The sequence below is a fragment of the Homo sapiens genome, chromosome 10, assembly GCF_000001405.40.
Source record: "Homo sapiens chromosome 10, GRCh38.p14 Primary Assembly".
Taxonomy (NCBI): Eukaryota; Metazoa; Chordata; class Mammalia; order Primates; family Hominidae; genus Homo; species Homo sapiens.
This window is the reverse complement of record NC_000010.11, coordinates 27515318-27533893: the sequence shown is the minus strand read 5'-3', so window position 1 is coordinate 27533893 and position 18576 is coordinate 27515318. Positions and strand designations below refer to the sequence as shown.

The 18576-nt window shown below is 33.8% G+C and overlaps 1 protein-coding gene across 5 annotated transcripts in view, besides 1 other annotated feature; it reads right to left on the bottom strand.

The window, feature by feature from the left end:
- The window catches only part of RAB18 (RAB18, member RAS oncogene family), a 37936-nt gene that overhangs the window by 8346 nt on the left and 11014 nt on the right, over window positions 1-18576 (bottom strand). For 2 of the 5 annotated variants that reach the window (NM_021252.5, NM_001256411.2), the window contains exons 3-5: window positions 7005-7066; window positions 1315-1387; window positions 41-159 (exon numbers count right to left, since the gene is read on the bottom strand). In NM_021252.5, coding sequence (NP_067075.1) covers window positions 41-159; window positions 1315-1387; window positions 7005-7066 — 254 coding nt within the window. Of the gene's footprint in view, window positions 1-40; window positions 160-1314; window positions 1388-2278; window positions 2366-7004; window positions 7067-18576 lie in introns of all 5 variants that reach the window. The other 3 variants (NM_001256410.2, NR_046172.2, NM_001256412.2) reach the window with 3 other exon arrangements.
- Window positions 9973-10474: an enhancer, noted in NCBI's record as "H3K4me1 hESC enhancer chr10:27812349-27812850 (GRCh37/hg19 assembly coordinates)". NCBI's record gives its function as "activates a minimal SCP1, AML or CMV promoter by ChIP-STARR-seq in naive H9 embryonic stem cells {active_cell/tissue: H9 hESC(naive)}" and the evidence as "EXISTENCE:reporter gene assay evidence [ECO:0000049][PMID:30033119]".

Below are 18576 nucleotides of genomic sequence, written 5' to 3'. Positions count from 1 at the left end.
CAAAATATAGAACCAAAATGCCAAGTGTCTGCCTTCTTACCTTATCGATTTTATTTCCAACTAGCATGTTTACTATGTCATTTCTTGTACAGTATGTTTCCAATTCATTTAACCAATTATCCAGTTTAACAAATGTATCTCTTCTTGTGACATCATAAACTGAAATAAAAGGAGTCATTTGTTAAATAAGCATTAAAGAAAGAAGCAATGGCGTATTTCTGATATGTAGCTAGGAGTTAGCATTACTAAGCAATATAGACAAGTCTTTTTTTTATTGTCTTCAACGATTAATATTGAGTGTCTACTGATCCAAATGGAAGAAACAAGTGTTTTTTTTTTAAAGCATACACATTTCAATCCTATTAACATATACTGTCACAGAAATGAAATTATATCCTGTGTAATAAGTGAAAACACATTTAATACCCATTAAAGCAAAACAACAGCTATTCCCATTCATAATGATGAATGAGGTCTATCCAAAAACCAGAGTGTTTAGATTCAAATCTGTGGCAAAATATTAAAAAAAAAATACATGAATGTAAACATCTATGACCCCATTAATTTGTTTATTACAAGAACCAAAATTTACAGCTTTGAAAAAATTGTAGTACAGTTAGTAGATGGGTTCCTGGTGGTCTTCCTGTTATCACTTTCATCTTATGTCATTCTGCATTATAACAAAAACCTTATTAAAGTGTTTTATAAACTCAAGAGATGCTGAACCAAAAGGCTGTCACTACCAAGCCATAATATTTAAAAAAAGAGAATTCTACCTATTAATACAATTGATCAATATTCATTTTAAACAGTTTCCCAGGAATATCAAGAACAAGCACTTTTCAACAAATTACACTGAGAATCCACATCTGGTTTCTAAATTTTGTTTGATTATAAATCAATAGTGTTAAGTGCTTTGTGATATTTTTAGGACTAATAAAGCAGATTCTACTAATCAACAAATACTTTTCGTCCTTTATAAACTACAGCAAATATTAATATGCTGATAACAGAAGCCCAGTTTCTGTAATACTCCAAGACAGTCCAACATATGCTGATTAATCCTCAATTACGTTCTCATTGACATGTGTTTTCAAACCAAATAAATTAGCCTTGTCTATTTTTTAAGTGCTAGACAAGACTAAAATCAAAAGTTTTAATATTCATTAATATTACATGAAGTTAATACAACTACAAGTTACATAAAAGTAGCTCTAACGAGAAGTAAAACAAAGACATATTAACTTTCACAGACTAGGACAATCAGAAACTCCAATAAATATTTTTAAATAGTACATTAAAGTAAACACTTACCTAATATAACACCCTGTGCACCTCTATAATAGCTGGGAGTTAATGTTCTAAACCTCTCTTGACCAGCAGTATCCTAAAAATGATCATTATTATTAAATTAAACAAAGTATAAATAGACCTTCAATATACTAGTTTAAGAGTAGAAAGTCAAACAGCATTACTAAAAATAGTATTAATGCATGAGCTCATTAAAAAACTGGAACTTAAATAAGATGTGTTCGCTTACTGACAAGTGTCACAAAATAAAATTATTTATAAATACTGATCTCTAGAAAAATGAAACTATGTAAAGGTTTTCTGCTGTTTTGAATTTAAGACTTTTATCATACATGAAATGAAACCCATGGTTCTAAACTCCAGCTGCACAATGAAATTTTCTGGGAATCTTGAGTCTAGCTTCCAAAAAATTTCTGCTTAATTGGTCTAAGGTAATGACAGGAATTTTTTTTTTTTTAAATCTTACCAGGTGCTTTTAATGTAGAATCAAGGCTGAGAACCACTGATTTGAAGAAAATTATGGGATGTCTTACTTTAGGTAACAGATTTTTAGGTTGGGCTCTTTTAAGTGTTTTCTATGTATCTCCTTTTGAGAAAATGCATATAACCAAGCCATTCTTTATTACATGTTATTTCTGACTCATGTTAGGGTTAGTGAACAATGTACACTAGGTAGAAAATGTAAATTTCATAAAGCAGGGACTCATCTGTTTAATCACCAGTTTAACCATTGTGCTGAGACCAATTCTTGAAAAAAGGCAGTTGCTCAGAATTTGTTGAGAAAAAAAAAAAAGAATGAACCTATTTAACAAGCCTTTACTTCCGGGCCCAATTCCTTCTCTCTCTTGTCTTTCTACCATCCTTGGACTATGGATTCAAGGTACCTAAGATTATACAAAGCAGCTCAGCCCACCACCTGTTTTATTAAATAAAGTTTTATTGAAACACAGCAGGCCTATTTGCTTACGTATTGCCACATGGCCCACTTCAGGATTGGACTATTTCCTATCTGGCTCTTTAAGAAAAAGTTTGCAGTCTGCTGATGCAAAGTAACCTAAAGAAAAGTAAAAGTAAAAACATGTATCAAACCTCAACTTAGCTACCAGTCCCACTGCTGTAAATGAGGGTTTGTTATGGGACAAGCAGAAGCTCCCCCAGATATAAAAATGTTAGAATAACCTGTAAGAGGTTTATAAGATTGGAGAAGAATTCAAACCAGGGGCGTGAGGGGCTTCAGCAAGACAGTAGGGAGGATCTGCAGTCATTTATAACCCCAGAAGAGAAACTTAAGAGGAAAGTAACGTTTCAATGTAAACCACTTTGAACATTCACCACTCTTCCACAGATACACTTACATAAATTTGAAAGCCTTTCCTTCCAGATCCTTACCACCACAGAAACTAATCCCCACCCTGCCATGCTTAAGTGAAGAATTAACAGATTTAAAGTAAATGTTCTGAACAGATAAATTTATAAAATAAATAATTTTTCTCTTTACAAAAATTCTCTCTGCCTCTAAGTTTCTTACAAAACCTGCCTTGGATTTTAAAATTATTCAATTTGCATATTTACTCACCTTTTCAAGAACAATAATATAAATTAAAAGCTGTTTAAAGCAAAGTGAACTTGCTATATAAAGCAGATTATAACTTTGATAACATGAGACAAGTCAATATTGTAGTCCATTAATCATTAATGAAACGGTATATGGATGCCCAGTGATCTTTTTTGATCACTATGCTCAAGTAATCAAAACCCAAATTTGCAGGGAAAAAAAAAGTAATCAACTAGAAGCCAAAAGATGTAACTACTATGCATATCATAGTAAAATGATTACTATGTGTATCAGTAAAAGTGTCACCACTTTTAGGAAGCAATTGGTAATATATATAATAAGAAACTAGAAATGCTCTTCATAGCCTTGTACTAGTACCTATTTCAGACAATCTGATTCATACTCAATAAAAAATGTATATTTTTAAATGACAAATCATTATGAGAACGTATCCTAGCTATCTGCTTACATGCAAAAAATGACAAATTAGTAATATTCAAATTATTCAGTATCCAGATACATTATAACTTTGAGAACTGCACCATGTTAAGCATTTAACTTTTAGTAGTACAGACTATCTGTTTTAGAGAGAAAGAAAAAAAAAAAAGAAGGAAAAGCCATTACTGAAAAGACAAGCCTTGGATTTGGAACAGTGAATTACTGAATTTGGAAATTTAAGAAGCAGCTATTTTTCTATACAGTGAATTAGTGAATTTGGAAATTTAAGAAGCAGCTATTTTTCCATACATGGAACACTGTTCTATATTCATAACAAATAGTTTGAGGCAAGGACCAAGTATGAAATATTTTAGCCCCAAGACTTTTTGATAACAGGAAGAAAGTTTATTCTATTTGCATAAGGAAACTGTATCCATAACTTCCAGAGCTGGCAGAAAAACAAGTGAACATGAACTTTGTTCTCTCTGGTCTTCATTGAGATCAACTTCAAAAACTGCCTTAATGAAACACAACATAAAAATCAGAACTGCAATTCCAGTTAAAATATCCATAAATCCTGATGTTTTAAAAGTAAAAACCATAGCAAGAAAGTTTTAATGTTGAAATATTACACTTGACTTTGAAACTTTGCTTGTGAATATTTATTAATAATTAGGCCAGATGTTTAGAGGCTTGCCATTTTTGGATTCACTTACAAAAGTGTTTAAATAGGTGTTATAATTTAGGGGGTGGAGGGAACCATGTGCAATAGCATCGCATCAGGATTTATAGTAACTATAAAGTGTATATGCTTAAATAGAAGTTAGATTGTTGCTTGTGTTTGTTTTCAAAACAGGAATATGTGGTAGGTATAATAACATCTTTGTAAGATAAATGAAGCACAGCTTTTTGTCTCTATCCTGTAGTTTTATTTTCTGATGGGGGAAGGAGAGAAGAAATTACTGAAAGATATATAGATAAACTCAGGGCTAGGAAAGATCTAGAAAGGCTTAATAATAGATGTAGGGAGTGAAAGTGAAGCAAGGACATAGGAAAAGGCAGTAGAAGAAAACAAGGTCATGATGAGTATGCACTTTCAGGAGGTAGGAGGGGCAGGGCTATGCTTAATTATTCTATTTCATCCTAGAAGAAGCTTCCAAGTAGGAGAGAAACTCATTTTATAAATAAAACTATAGAAGAATTAGGCAACTATGGATTCATATATTTCTAATACAGAGGAAACGCCTTCCTAAATACGTTACACCCAAATGCCATGATGAAAATAGCTGATCCAACCATATAAATATTAAAACCTTGAAATGACAAGAACACCCTTTACCTCCTCTTCACCTCCCCATCCCCATATTCATCCTTAACAATATTGGAAGGTAAATGACAAACTGGAAAAAAAAATCTGTAGCATATGGCAGTATTACACACACACACAAGAACACAAACATATATTCAACTGATACATGATTTTAAAGGCAAATGATAGCTTAGAAAATTGTACCACATGACAAAGAGCTAATAATTTTATTATATAAAGACTTTAATGAAGAAAAAGATGAATGCTAACGTATAAAATGGGTAAAATATGTAAAAAGAAAACTTATTTTTTAAAATGATCAATAAACAGGCAAAAATCTCTTATCAAAAGAAATGCAAATATAAGTAAAACAGCAACACTCAGAGGCAAAAACAGAAAGAATGATAACAGTAGAGATAAGGATGTGGCAGAATGAATATGAATACAATTGGTGGGAGTATAAACTGAAAAAAAAGGCTTTTTGGTGTACATTAATGTGAAGACTTCATATTCATTTCTACTTCCAGCTACACATTCTAAAGTAACTGGACAAGTACACACAGACGTATAAATCAGGATGCTCAAAGAGCTGTAATCTTTGTGAAAAGCTGGCAAAAATGTAAGTATCTCTCACTGAAGGCTGACTAAAGTACAGCTATGAAACGGAATACTAGCTGGCCATCTAAACGGATACAGCACATACTATGAGTGGGGGTGAGGTGGTAGGAAAGGAGGACAAACAGGTTTAAAAATGTAAGATATAATATAATCCCTTTGTTTTGGAAAACTCACATACTGGTATGTATAGTGGTATGTATACATATCCCTTGATATTTTAAAGAATGCTCACTAAAATGTATTCAGTGGTATACTTTTATAGATGTTCTTCTCTGCTCTTCTTATTGTCTCAATTATCCCTTTTAGAATGACCCTGTATTATTCTTACAGCCAGGGGGAAAACCTCTCTTCTTTAAAAAATGTTTATAGGCCTATGGTAAAAATGTCTCTTCAATAATACCTGCCAGCCTTTTTATTAGGCAGGAACTAGAAAATAAATTTAAAACAAAACGAAACTATGAGAGAAAAATCTCACTGCAACCAGCAAGTCTCAGATACTACTCTAATCTACGGATTTCACAAAGCAGCAGCAAGGCCGGAAAGGGATAATAAATTAACCATGAAAAGCATATGGAAATCAGGCCCCCACTTTAGTATGGAAAAAGCCAACATTCTTATATCGTTCAACACATTTTACCATACTCTAGTCCAACATTTTCCAAATTGTTTTCTGTTAGACATTACCGTTCTGATTGATATTAAACATATTTGGGGGAAAGGGGCAAACAGGTTAACAAATTTAAAGTATTGTATGTTAGGAAAAACTGACATAAAAACATTAAACACACTTACACAATTATTTGTTATTTGGGGATAAATGTGTATTAGAAACAGTGTGCCATTCAGAGAATGCCAAGAAATATGACATCATACAATGCATGAACACTTGCTGTTTTCAATCTGTGACTGATGTACAAACAGCATTTACCATTTAACCACCATGTGGAAATAAGTCTCGATTTGATGACTGATCAGTTCTAATATGATTTCTTATATTACAAACATATATGTATAATTATCACAGTCTATGTGAAAAATAGATATATAAAACAGTATATATTTAGAATATACATATATATATATAACCGATCATATTTAGATAGACAGATATAGATAGATCGGTATGTGGGTGGGTAAATAGACTGATGAAAGGGAGACACAGAGAGAGACAAACATAGACACTAAGCATCTTGGATATTTTTGACAGTTAATGCTACCTTATTTGACACTAGCATGAGCGGTCTAGCTAGTACAGTAACGGGGATCAGAATGGTTGGATTGACAGGAAAACGAAAAGAAGCCAGTAAGGAAAAACGAGGCATTAAAAATAAGCCCAAAGTTTGAAACCTCAAATTTTATAAATATCTATACTAACAAACAAGAAAAATAAAATTTTTTCCTAAATATCACGTCATTCCTCCTCCCCTTAAAAATTGTCTTTAGTGTTAGTTCAGTCTAGATGGTCTTTTTAAAACTTCAAAGAAACATATCCAATTATGATTCTCTTTGGCAGATGAGATGATTTTTTAATATTCTGTTCTGTTTTGAAATATTCATAAAGAATTATGCATTGTGAAAATTTAAACAAAACATAGCTGCCTAATTACCCAATTATAAGACATTACTGTTTATCCTTTAATCAGTATCAAATCTCCCAAAAGTTATTTAATACAAATTGTTCATTCACCACCTCTAGAACACTACACAAATCAATTTCTGCATCCTTAAAAAGTAAAGTTTAATATTTTAAAAATACATTTTAAAAACTCTTACCCATATTGCAAGTTTAGCCTTATTTCCATCCACTGAAATTGTTTTCACCTTAAAGTCAACACCTTAAAGAAATGAAAATTTTGATAAGTCTCCCAGTAAAACAGACTTTTAAAATCCATTACCAAGAAAACCAGAAAACAGAAAAGTCACTATTATCAAATGCCCAATTCACACCCCAACTTCTTAGAATTCTGGATGTGGAGATAAAAAGTGTCATTAAAATCCAGGATCTTAGGATTTAATCAGGATAAATGAAAATCAAATGCTTGTAGAATTCACTCACTCACCTACCTTCTATTCTTCCAAAAAGGAAAAACGAAATTCAATTTAAGGTGATAACTCACTATGCGTGTTAAAAGTCAAGAGCTGCAATTACAATGCTCACATAAAGAAGACTATCCATGGCTGACTGTGGGTCATGGCAGCTTCCAGGGGCTCCCTAAGCATCCACATGCTACTGTTAAGAGTGCTGTCCACTGCCAGCCAACCACTAACTCAGATCTTGACTGTAAGCAGCTTGGGGAACCGGTAAAAATATTAAAGGGCCACTCACTCCTTGTCATATAATCTCTTTATTTTTATCCTAAAAAAATACTATTTTTATGTAATAACCTAATCAATAACTTGCTACAGCACAATTTCAATAAAACAATTTATACATGAAAACATTTATATACAACCATCTAAGAATCTTCATAAGTGAAAGAGGAGTGCCCAAAGTTCTATGAAAAGCTTCTATAAGTACTAATTTATGTAAAGAAAAGAGTTTCATAAGAAGTCCACAAGGCTTTATTACAGCAGCCAAAAAAGAAACCTCTCCCTTTCCAGGAAAAGGAGTTGACACATGCCATCTGGCTTAAATGAACAGCAACTGCCCACATGTCTTTCAAGAGTTCAGTCTACCCCACTGGCCAGAGGGAAAACATTAGCTCAAGAAGCTTGGAAAGAAACTTTCAAAATATCTTATTAGCTTGTCACAATTAATTCAGAACAGCCCCAACTAAGATGAACAGCACCCTCACATACTAAATGCTTAATAGAACACCTGTCACCAATATGGAAATATATTTGTAATTCTTGGAAGACTTGTGGTGATCCATTACATATACAAATTCAGTAATAAAAATGCACATTCAAAATGTGCATTATGCCAGGTCTTTCTGTATACCAAATATATATATTTTTAAGTTTGGTGTTTTGAGCTGGGGTGATAAAGGAGTTGATAAAGCCTAGAATGATGGGCAACCATTAGTAAAAGGACAGTGTTGATTACATAGCCCAACAAAAACCTAAATATAAAATTTCTTCACAGCCAAACAAACAAAAAATCCCACATGCTAAATAATCTTGTATTAACCAGGTCTAAATAAAGAAGTTACTATGCCATTTTAAAAGTGGAACCATCTACATAAACAACATGAAATTATCTACATTTTCTTCCTATTGCTTTAAAAAAAAAAAAGCAAAGCACAAACCCTGAGAAAATTCAGAGGAGGAAAATGGTTCTGACTTGGTGCAGGTACTAAATGACAGCCACTGGCAGACACTACACAGAGATAGCCTCTGTCATGCACACTCTACAGTTAAATTCTCAAGGTTTTTCAGGGAGTATATAAAGAACTAATTTTTTTCCTTAATAATCCCAGATACATGTTCAAGAGCAGACAAGCATCTTTCCTATGAGCTAATTTGTTTACCCAAGAAAAGAAACCCACCGCTTCCAGAATGTATGTGTTTTCTTCCCATACCCCAACTCCTCTTTCTCTATTATTATTTCCTGGTTCTGCAAGTTTGTTGTGAACAGTCTAATGACTGTCTCTGACATAAGAATAATTTGCATGTGGATAACTAACAATGTCTCTAAGTTATGCTTTTGACATATTATATCTGAAACTTACCAATACCCATCCACAGGAGACACTGAACACTGTCGTCCTGCCATCAAAGCCAACAGACACAGGTAGCCTGAAGGGGCACCTAATCTAAATCCAGACCCCTAAAGTCCCCAGTCATCTTCCCTAGGTTCCTCTGGTGAATCTCACATGCAGCAATTGAGCTCTTCAGATCTCACATGCTAAAACTGCTTCTTCATCATGCTTCTCTTTTGTTAAGTGGCTGATAATTTATCTTAATTGGTAGCAGCAGTGGGAGTCTTTTTGAGAGATTTGATTTTGCCAGTTTCTTACCCAATTTGATTAAACTGTGTCTTCAATCTCTTCATGTGGATAACATGGAGCTCACAACAGAAACAGAAGAACTGTCATCTCAGCTTTTCCTTGTTCATTTGTGTTTGCATTTTTAATATGATCTTTAATTCAGTTTCTTTGCAAGAATCTTTTTTTAGGCACACTGGTAAATTTTCATGTTGCACTTACTGCTTATTTCAAAGGCTCCATTAACTATATTATCTAGTTTTAACTAAAATAACCTTCATGAAAAAGGCCAAAGAAAATATGAACTCAACAGTAGATATATGTGAATGGGAGACCAGAAGATATTAATGGAAGCAGAAGCACACATCTTGTTGAAGAGGAGAAAAATCAATCAATAGAAACTGACTCAGAACTGACACAGATGTTACAACTGTACACCACATGTTCAAAAAGTAGACATGAGTGACATAAAAAAGGATCAAACAGAACTTTCTAAAGATGAAAATGGGCTGGGCACAGTGGCTCACGCCTGTAATTCCAACACTTTGAGAGGCTAAGGTGGGAGGATCGCTTGAGGCCAGGAGTTTAAGACCAGCCCCAGCAAAACAGCGAGACTTCGTCTTGACAAAAATAAATTTTTATTTTTATTTTTTTTTTGAGACGGAGTCTTGCTCTGTTGGCCAGGCTGGAGTGCAGTGGCAGTGATCTTGGCTCACTGCAAGCTCTGCTTCCCAGGTTCATGCCATTCTGCTGCCTCAGCCTCCCAAGCTGCTGGGACTACAGGCGCCTGCCACCACGCCCGGCTAATTTTTTGTATTTTTAGTAAAGACGAGGTTTCACCGTGTTAGCCAGTATGGTCTCAATCTCCTGACCTCGTGATCCGCCCGCCTCGGCCTCCCAAAGTGCTGCGATTATAGGCGTGAGCCACCGCACCCAGCCAAAAATAAACTTTTAAAATTAGCCAGGCATGGTGGCTTGCGCCTGTAGTCCCAGCTTCTCAGGAGGCTGAGGTACAAGGATGGATCGAGCCTGAAAGGTCGAGGCTGAAATGTGCCGTGGTTGTGCTACTGCAGCCCAGCCTGGATAACAGAGCAAGACCCTGTCTCAAAAAAAAAAAAAAAAAAAGGTAAAAATGGCAATGTCTGAGATGAAAAATACACTGGATGGGATTAACAGCAAATTAGGCGCTGCAGAAGAAAACATCAGTGAATGTGATGACACAGCAACAGAAACTACCCAAAAGGAAGCAGAAAGAAAAGGTTCAAAGAAAATGAGAGACCATCAATCATCTGTGGGACAACTTCAAGCAGCCTATTATGCAAACAATGGAGTTGAGGAAAAAGAAGAGAGAAGGGGGGAAAATATATCTGAGAAATAATGGCTGAAAAATTTCAAATTTGATGAAAAATATAAATCCACAGATCAAAAAAGCTCAATAAGCCCCTAGCAAAAAAAAAAAAAAAAAAAAAAAGAAGAAGAAAAACTCGGAGACATCATAATGAAATTGTTCTAAGTATTTTAAATTAAATATTTTAAACAAAAAGAAAAACAACATCAAAATTTGTATGATGCCACTTAAGCAATACTTAATAGGAACATTTATAGCACTAAACACCCATATTAGAAAAGACAAGTGATCTAAAATCAATGACCTAGGCTTCTAAACTAAGACAATAGAAAAAGCAGCAAATTAAATCCGAAGAAGTAGAAGAAAGAAAATAAAGTTCAAACCAGAAATTAAAAACAGAAAAACAACAACAAAAATCAATGAATCCAAAAGTTGCTTCTAAAAGAAAACCAATAAAACTGATAAACTTCTAGTCAAATTGATCAGGAAAAAGAAGACAAAAAAAATCATTACAAAGGATGAAAAAAATCACACCATTTATAGATTGTACAGAAGTTAAAGGAATGACAGAATGTTATGAACAAGTTTATGCCAATAAATTTGACAATTCAGATAAAAATGGACAATTTCCTTGAAAGATTAAAAGCTACCAGAATTTACTGAAATAGATCACAAAGAAAATATATATAGAATATAGATAAAAAAGGAAATGTGAAGAGAGTCAAAGCATATTATTATGAAAAATCCCTAAACAGATAAGAAGGCAGTAATGGTAAGAATTCAGGAACAAAAACTCTTTAAGGAAATAAATAGCAAAATGGCAGAAGTCCTTCCTTATTGGTATATTAAATGCAAATAGAATAAACTCTCCTATCAAAAGATTGGCAGAATACTTTTTAAAAATTCAACTACATGCTTTCTATCAGAGATTCACTTTTGGTCTAGAAACAAATATAGGTTGAGAGTGAAAGGACAGGAAAAGATATTCCATACAAATAGTAACCAAAAGATAGCAAAGGTAATTATTCTAAAATCAGACAAAATAGACTTTAAGTCAAAAACTGTTAGGAGACTAAAACAAAATATTTTGATAAAAAGGCCAATTCTCAAGAAGATACAACAATTATAAACATATACACCACAGAACAGAAGTCCAATATATACAAAGCAAACACTTGATAGAATTAAATGGAAAAATAGTGTTACAACCATCAGAGATTCTATTTATTTATTTATTTATTTTCCTAAACACAAGCCCTCCACTGAAAATACTGATTATTTTTATTGCCTGACTGAATTCCAAAACGTCTTTTTTTTCCCCACAAATTACATTTTATTTAGATTTTTACAATTACAGTTTCATTACAAAGGATACAATATCAGGACCAACCAAAAAGAGAAACACATAAGGATGAGGTCTGGGAGGGTCCCAAACACGGAGCTTCCATGCGTCTCCCCTTCCTCTCCCTGCAGAACCAGAGCACATCACCCTCTTGTTTTTTTTTTAAATCCTCCCATATACTTTATCCTATTTTTTTTTTATTTCAATAGGTTTTTAGGAAGAGGTGGTATGTGGTTACATGGATAAGTTCTTTAGGGTAATTTCCGAGATTTTGGTGCACCCATCAACCGGGCAGTGTGCACTGTACCCAATGTGTAGTTTTTTAAATCCCTCATCCCTCTCCCACCCTTCCCCGAGTCCCCAAGTTCCACTGTATCATTCTTATGCCTTTGTGTCTTCATAGCTTAGCTATCACTTATAAATGAGAACATACAATGTTTGGTTTTCCATTCCTGAGTTACTTCACTTAGAATAATGATCTCCAGTTCCAGCCAGTTTGCTGCAAATGTCATTATTTTGTTCCTTTTTATGGCTGAGTGGTATTCCATGGTATGCATATGCCACATTTTATCTACTCATTGATTGATGGGCATTTGGGCTGGTTCCATATTTTTGCAATTGTGAATTGTGCTGCTATAAACATGCATGTGAAAGTGTCTTTTTCACAGGATAAACAGTCGGAGATTTTAATACACCACTTCCAATTATGAATAGTGTACTGAGATATATTATCAACAGAAAACAAAGGGTTTGAAGGCCAATTAGAGCCAACAGAATACTCCGTATAACAACAAATTTTTTTCAAGTATACATGAAACATTCTCCAGGATAGGCCATATGTTGGCTACAAAACAAGTCTTAATACATATTAAAAAACCGAAATCATGCAAACCATTTTTCTGATTACAATGGAATAAACCTAGAAATTAATAACAGAAGGAATACTGGCAAATTCACAAATACGTGAAAATGAAACAATACCCTTTTAAACAACCAATAAAATCACAGAAAAAAAATTAGAGAATGCCTTGAGACAAATAAAAATACAATATATTAAAATTTAGGGAATGCCGTGAAAGAAATGTTAAGAGAAAAAAAAATTTTCTTTTTTTTTTTTTTTTTTTTTTTTTGAGATGGAGTCTTGCTCTGTCACCCAGGCTGGAGTGCAGTGGTGCGATACCGGCTCACTGCAACTTCTGCCTCCTGGGTTCAAGTGGTTTACTCATCCCAGCCTCCCTAGTAGCTGGGATTACAGGTGCCCGCCACTATGCCTGGCTAATTTTTGTATTTTTAGTAGAGACGGGGTTTCACCATGTTGGCCAGACAGATCTCGACCTCCTGACCTCAGGTAATCTGCCTGCCTTGGACGCCCAAAGTTCTGGGATTACAGGCATGAGCCACCATGCCCGGCACAGAAATTTATAGCTGTAAATGAATATATTATAAAGGAAATAAAACTTCAAATCAATAACCTAACTTTATACCTTAAGGAACTAAAAGAGAGGAGTAAACTCTGTGCAAAGCTAGCAGGGCAGAAGTAATAAATAATACGAGCAAAGATAATTAGAGAATAAAACACAATAAGGAAAACTGATAACCAAAGTTGTTTTTTCTTAAAGATCAACAAAATAGACAAACTTTTAAACTAGATTAACTTCAAAAAAAAAAGAGAGTGAGAGAAAAGGTTCACATTACAAAACTCAGATATGAAAACAGGGTCATTACTACCAATTTTACAGAAAAAAAAGGATCATAAGAGAATACTATGAACAACCGTTATGTCAACGAAATGGATAACATAATTAAATGGGCAAATTCTAACAAATACACAATCTGCCAAAATTTACTCATGAATAGAAAACTTGAATAGACCCATAACTAGTAAGAAGATTGAATCAGTAATCAATCAAGTTTATTCCCAGAATGCAAGAACAGTTGAACTTTAAGAAAAATGAATCAAAGTAATACATCGCATTAAAAGAATGAAGGTTTTTAAACACATGATCATCATCTTGATGCAGAAAATGCATTTGACAAAATTCAATTCCCTTTCATGATAAAACACTCAACAAACTAGGAATAGAAGGGAATTTCCTCAACATGATATACACCATATATGAAAAACCCATGGCTAATGTCATACTCAATGGTGATAAAGCTTTGGTTTTTTTCCAAGTTGTTTTGGCTAGTCTACTTCCTTTGCATTTCCTAGTGAATTTTAGAATCAGCTTGTTGATTTAAAAATAAAAGCCTGCTGGGATTTTGATAGGGATTATGTTGAATCTATAGATCACTTTGGGGAGAACTGACCTCTTAGCAATATTAAATCTTATGGCTACTGAAAAAGTTATATCTTTCCATTCATTTAGGTCTTTAAAAATTAATCTGAAAGTATTTTGTAATTTTCAGTATTACAGGTCTTTGACAAATTTCGGTAAATTTAGCCCTGGGTATTCCGTAGATTTTTATCTAAAATTGTATTTAAATTTTTCATCTTCCTTTTATTCATTACTAATAAACAGAAACACAATTGATACTATAAATATGGATTTTGTATTCCTGTGGATTTTTACATTCTTCTTTTCCAATCTGGATGCATTTCTTGTCTTACTGCCCTGGCTAAAAATTTCTAGTACAACCGAAGTGGTGAGAGCTTATATTCTTATTTTGTTCCTCATATTAAGGGGAAAACATTCTTTATTTTATCATTAAGTATGATGTTAGTTGTATGTTTTTTATAGATATCCTTTATCAGGTTTCTATTCACAGTCTACTGAAAGATGTTATCAAGAATACATGATGGATTTTTTTCAAATGCATTTTCTGCATCTATTGAGATGATTACGTGATATTTCTTTTTTAGTTTAAAGTAGTGAAGTATGCATTGATTTTTTTTTTAATGTTAAACCAACTTTTCCTATGTGGGATAAACCCCACTTCGTTTTGTTGGTTTATTATGTGTTGTTCTTCATATGTTTCATATCAACTGATAATTTTTCAAAAGTGCAAAAGCAATTCAGTGTAGAAAGGACAGTCTTTTCAACTAAGTGTTAGCACAACTGGATATCCATATGCAAAAGGAAAAAAAAGAACTTCATACCTCACACTGTATTCAAAAATTAATTCAAAAAATTATACTTAATGTAACACTTTATAAACTATAAGACTTCTGGAAGAAAATATAGGGGAAAATCACTGCAACCTTCTGTCAGGCAAAAGATACAACACTGAAATCATCATCCATAAACGGAAAAATTAAGAAGTTAGATTTCATCAAAATAAAAAACATATGCTGTTAGAAATATACTTTTACACGAATGAAAAAACAAGCCAGAGACTGGGAGGAAAACATTTGCAAAGCATATATCATCTAATAACAGACTTAAATGCAGAATATATTTTAAAAACTCTCAAAGCCCCCAAAAAAGCAAAAAACCCACTTAAAAATTAATGAAAGACTTGAACAGACACTGCAAAAAAATACATATATACAGCCTATATAAATGTGCATATAGACGTTAAAAAGATACTCAACCTCATTAGTCATTAGCAAAATTCAAATTAAACCACAATGAGATCTGAACACATACCTACTTACTCATTTGAAAATATGGTTAAAATTTAAATAAGGCTGCTCGTAGATATATAATAGGTGAGGGGTATAGAAGAATAAGAATTCTCATATGAAGCTAGTGGGAATGTAAAAATGATACAACCACTTTATAAAAATATGGCCAAACTGTTTTCCAAAGTTAAATATGCATTTATCATATGACCCACCAATTCCATTACTGGGTATGTATTCTAAAGAAATAAAAATTAGTATTCATACAAAATCCTATACCTGAATGTTTACAACAGGACTATTCATAATCACTAAAAACTGGAAACAACAAAAATGTCTCACAATTGATGAATAGATAAACCAACTAAAACTGTGGTACATCCACACAATGGAATATAGCTCAGCAATAAAAAGGAACAAACAATTCACAGGAACTTGGATGAAGCTCAAAGGCATTAAGCTAAGTGAAAGCAGTCTCAGAGGTGCACATGTACCCTAAAACTTAAAGTATAATTAAAAAAAAAAAGGTAACATACCATATGACTCCACTTACATGACATTCTCAAAAAAGATAAAACTAGAGACCAGGTAAGTGGCTGCTGAGGTTAGAGGCAGGAGGACCAGACTAGAATAGAACAGAAAGGGATAGCACCAGGTAGCTCTGGGGATGATGGAACTATTTGGTATGCTGACTGTGGTGGTGGCAATTATATGACCATAAACATTTGTTTTAATACATATGTTAAAAATCAAACTGTATACCAAAAAAATCAACTTTAATGTATAATTTTTTAAAAAATGCTGCTATGAACTCATATGTAAGAAACACAATAGGTCAAACATATTTTCTGAAAGAATAAATTATCAAGAATGTGTATTGTAAAACCTCTACTTCTTTTCAATTGAGGATTTACTTTGTTGTTGTCAAGTCTGAGATTGATTCTGTATAATTGTTCCATGGGCTTTTAAAGTAGTGAGGTCTTTATTCAAAAGATTTGCTGATTTTGTTAGTCCAATTCCCTATGCCTTTATCTGTATCTTTTGGGTCTATCTATCTACAAAACAAATGCAGCAAATCTAATATTACTGTATTTTCATCAAATTCTTTTTTTTTTCTTTGAGACAGAGTCTTGCTCTGTCGCCCAGGCTGCAGTGCAGTGGCACAATCTCGGCTCACTGCAACCTCTGCCTCCCGGATTCAAGTGATTCTCCTGCCTCAGCCTCCCGAGTGGCTGGGACTACAGGTGTGAGCCACCATGCCTGGCTAATTTTTGTATTTTTAGTAGAGACAGGGTTTCACCATGTTGGACAGGCTGTTCTTGAACTCCTGAAATCAGGTGATCCGCCCTCCTCAGCATCCCAAAGTGCTGGGATTACAGGTGTGAGTCACTGCACCTGGCCCTCATTGAATTCTTTTCTTGTGTTTTGAAGCTTTTATAGAGAGCTTCTATGTTTGGTGCCTACTTGTTTATGACTGTTATAGCTGCTTAGTTAATTTACTGGGCCAGCATTACATACTATCCACTTTATTCTGTCCAGTGCATTAACCTTAAATTCTACCTAACTTAGGCTACATTTTACCATACCACTTTTGCATTTTTGCATTTGCCTGGTTCATCTATTTTCAACCTTTTCTTACTTCTTTTTCAACTCTAGCTGATAATTTGAATTATTAAGAGAAGTGGACCCAGGCACATTTAATTAATTAACATATTTTTTTACTGCTTCCCTCTTAATTATATTTAGCATTCTTTGACATTCAGGTCAAATCTGTGGTTGATATACTGTGAAATAATTAAAAGAATTCCAAATTAGAAGTTGGGAGGCTGGATTTAGCCCCAGCCTTCTGACTAAGGTATAGCCTAAGGAATATAGACTAAGGTATAGAAATCAAAGATTTCTCTCTTTTTTTTTTTTTCTTTTTGAGATGGAGTCTCTCTCTGTCACCCAGGCTGGAGTGCAGTGGTGCGATCTTGGCTCACTGCAACCTCCATCTCCTGAATTTAAGCGATTCTCCTGCCTCAGCCTCCCAGGTACCTGGGATTACACACACCTGCCACCACGCCTGGCTAATTTTTGTATTTTTAGGGGAGATGGGAGGTTTCACCATGTTGACCAGGCTGGTCTCGAACTCCTGACCTTCAGTGATCCACCTGCCTCGGCCTCCCAAAGTGCTGAGACTACAGGCGTGAGCCACTGCGCCTGGCCCAAAGATTTCAAATGTTCAAAGGGGAAAACTAAACTGAAAATTCAAAGTATCCAGAGCAATGACAAAGAAACACTCCATACCAAAACCTATGGAACACAGAATTGGTTCTTAGAGAACATCTTTAACAAAGAATAAGCATTAAAAATAAGGGGACTTAATATTTATCTTAACAAACCAAAAAAATAACACCAAAAGAAAAGCAGGAAGAACGAGGGAAAAAAATTAAAGCAATCCTCAAAACAATAAAATAGATACATTCCTTAGGAAAAGACAACAAAAATAGACAATTTTAGAAATGAAGAGCCACGATCACAGATAATGAAAAGTTTAAAATAATACTATGTGCAACTATCTTAAGAGAAAATGAATACTTTCCAAGTTACACTCCCAAGACTATTCTAAGAATAGAAAACTTGAAGAGGTTGGAATGATAAAGAAGGAAGGAGGATCAGATTGATTCAACAGGTAAAATGTAACCTTTAAAGAACAGATAATTCCAATATTATTTAAGTTTGTCATGAAAAAAAATTTTTTTTTTTTGAGACAGGTCTTGCTCTGTCACCCAGGCTAGAATACAGTGGTACGATCACAGCTTACTGCAGCCTTGACCTCCCAAGCTCAAGTGATCCTCCTGCCTTGGCCTCACAAAGTGCTGGGATTATAGGCATGAGCCACTGTGCCCAGCAGAAGTCATAGGTATTTTTGAAAGCTCACTAAGGAAATAACATCAACCCATAACAACCACAATTTGTCTAACTGTAGTTGAAATATACCAACCCTCAAAAGACATTTTCACATATTTTAACAATTATAAGTCTTAAAATAGATTAAGAAATATGTTGTGACCCAGTCTGAAGTAGAAAAATGGTTTTACATTCATTTTCTAGGTTTTTATTTGAAAATAGTTTTTAAAGCACCCTTTTTATAGTCAAAAGGTACATAAAACAGGGTAAAT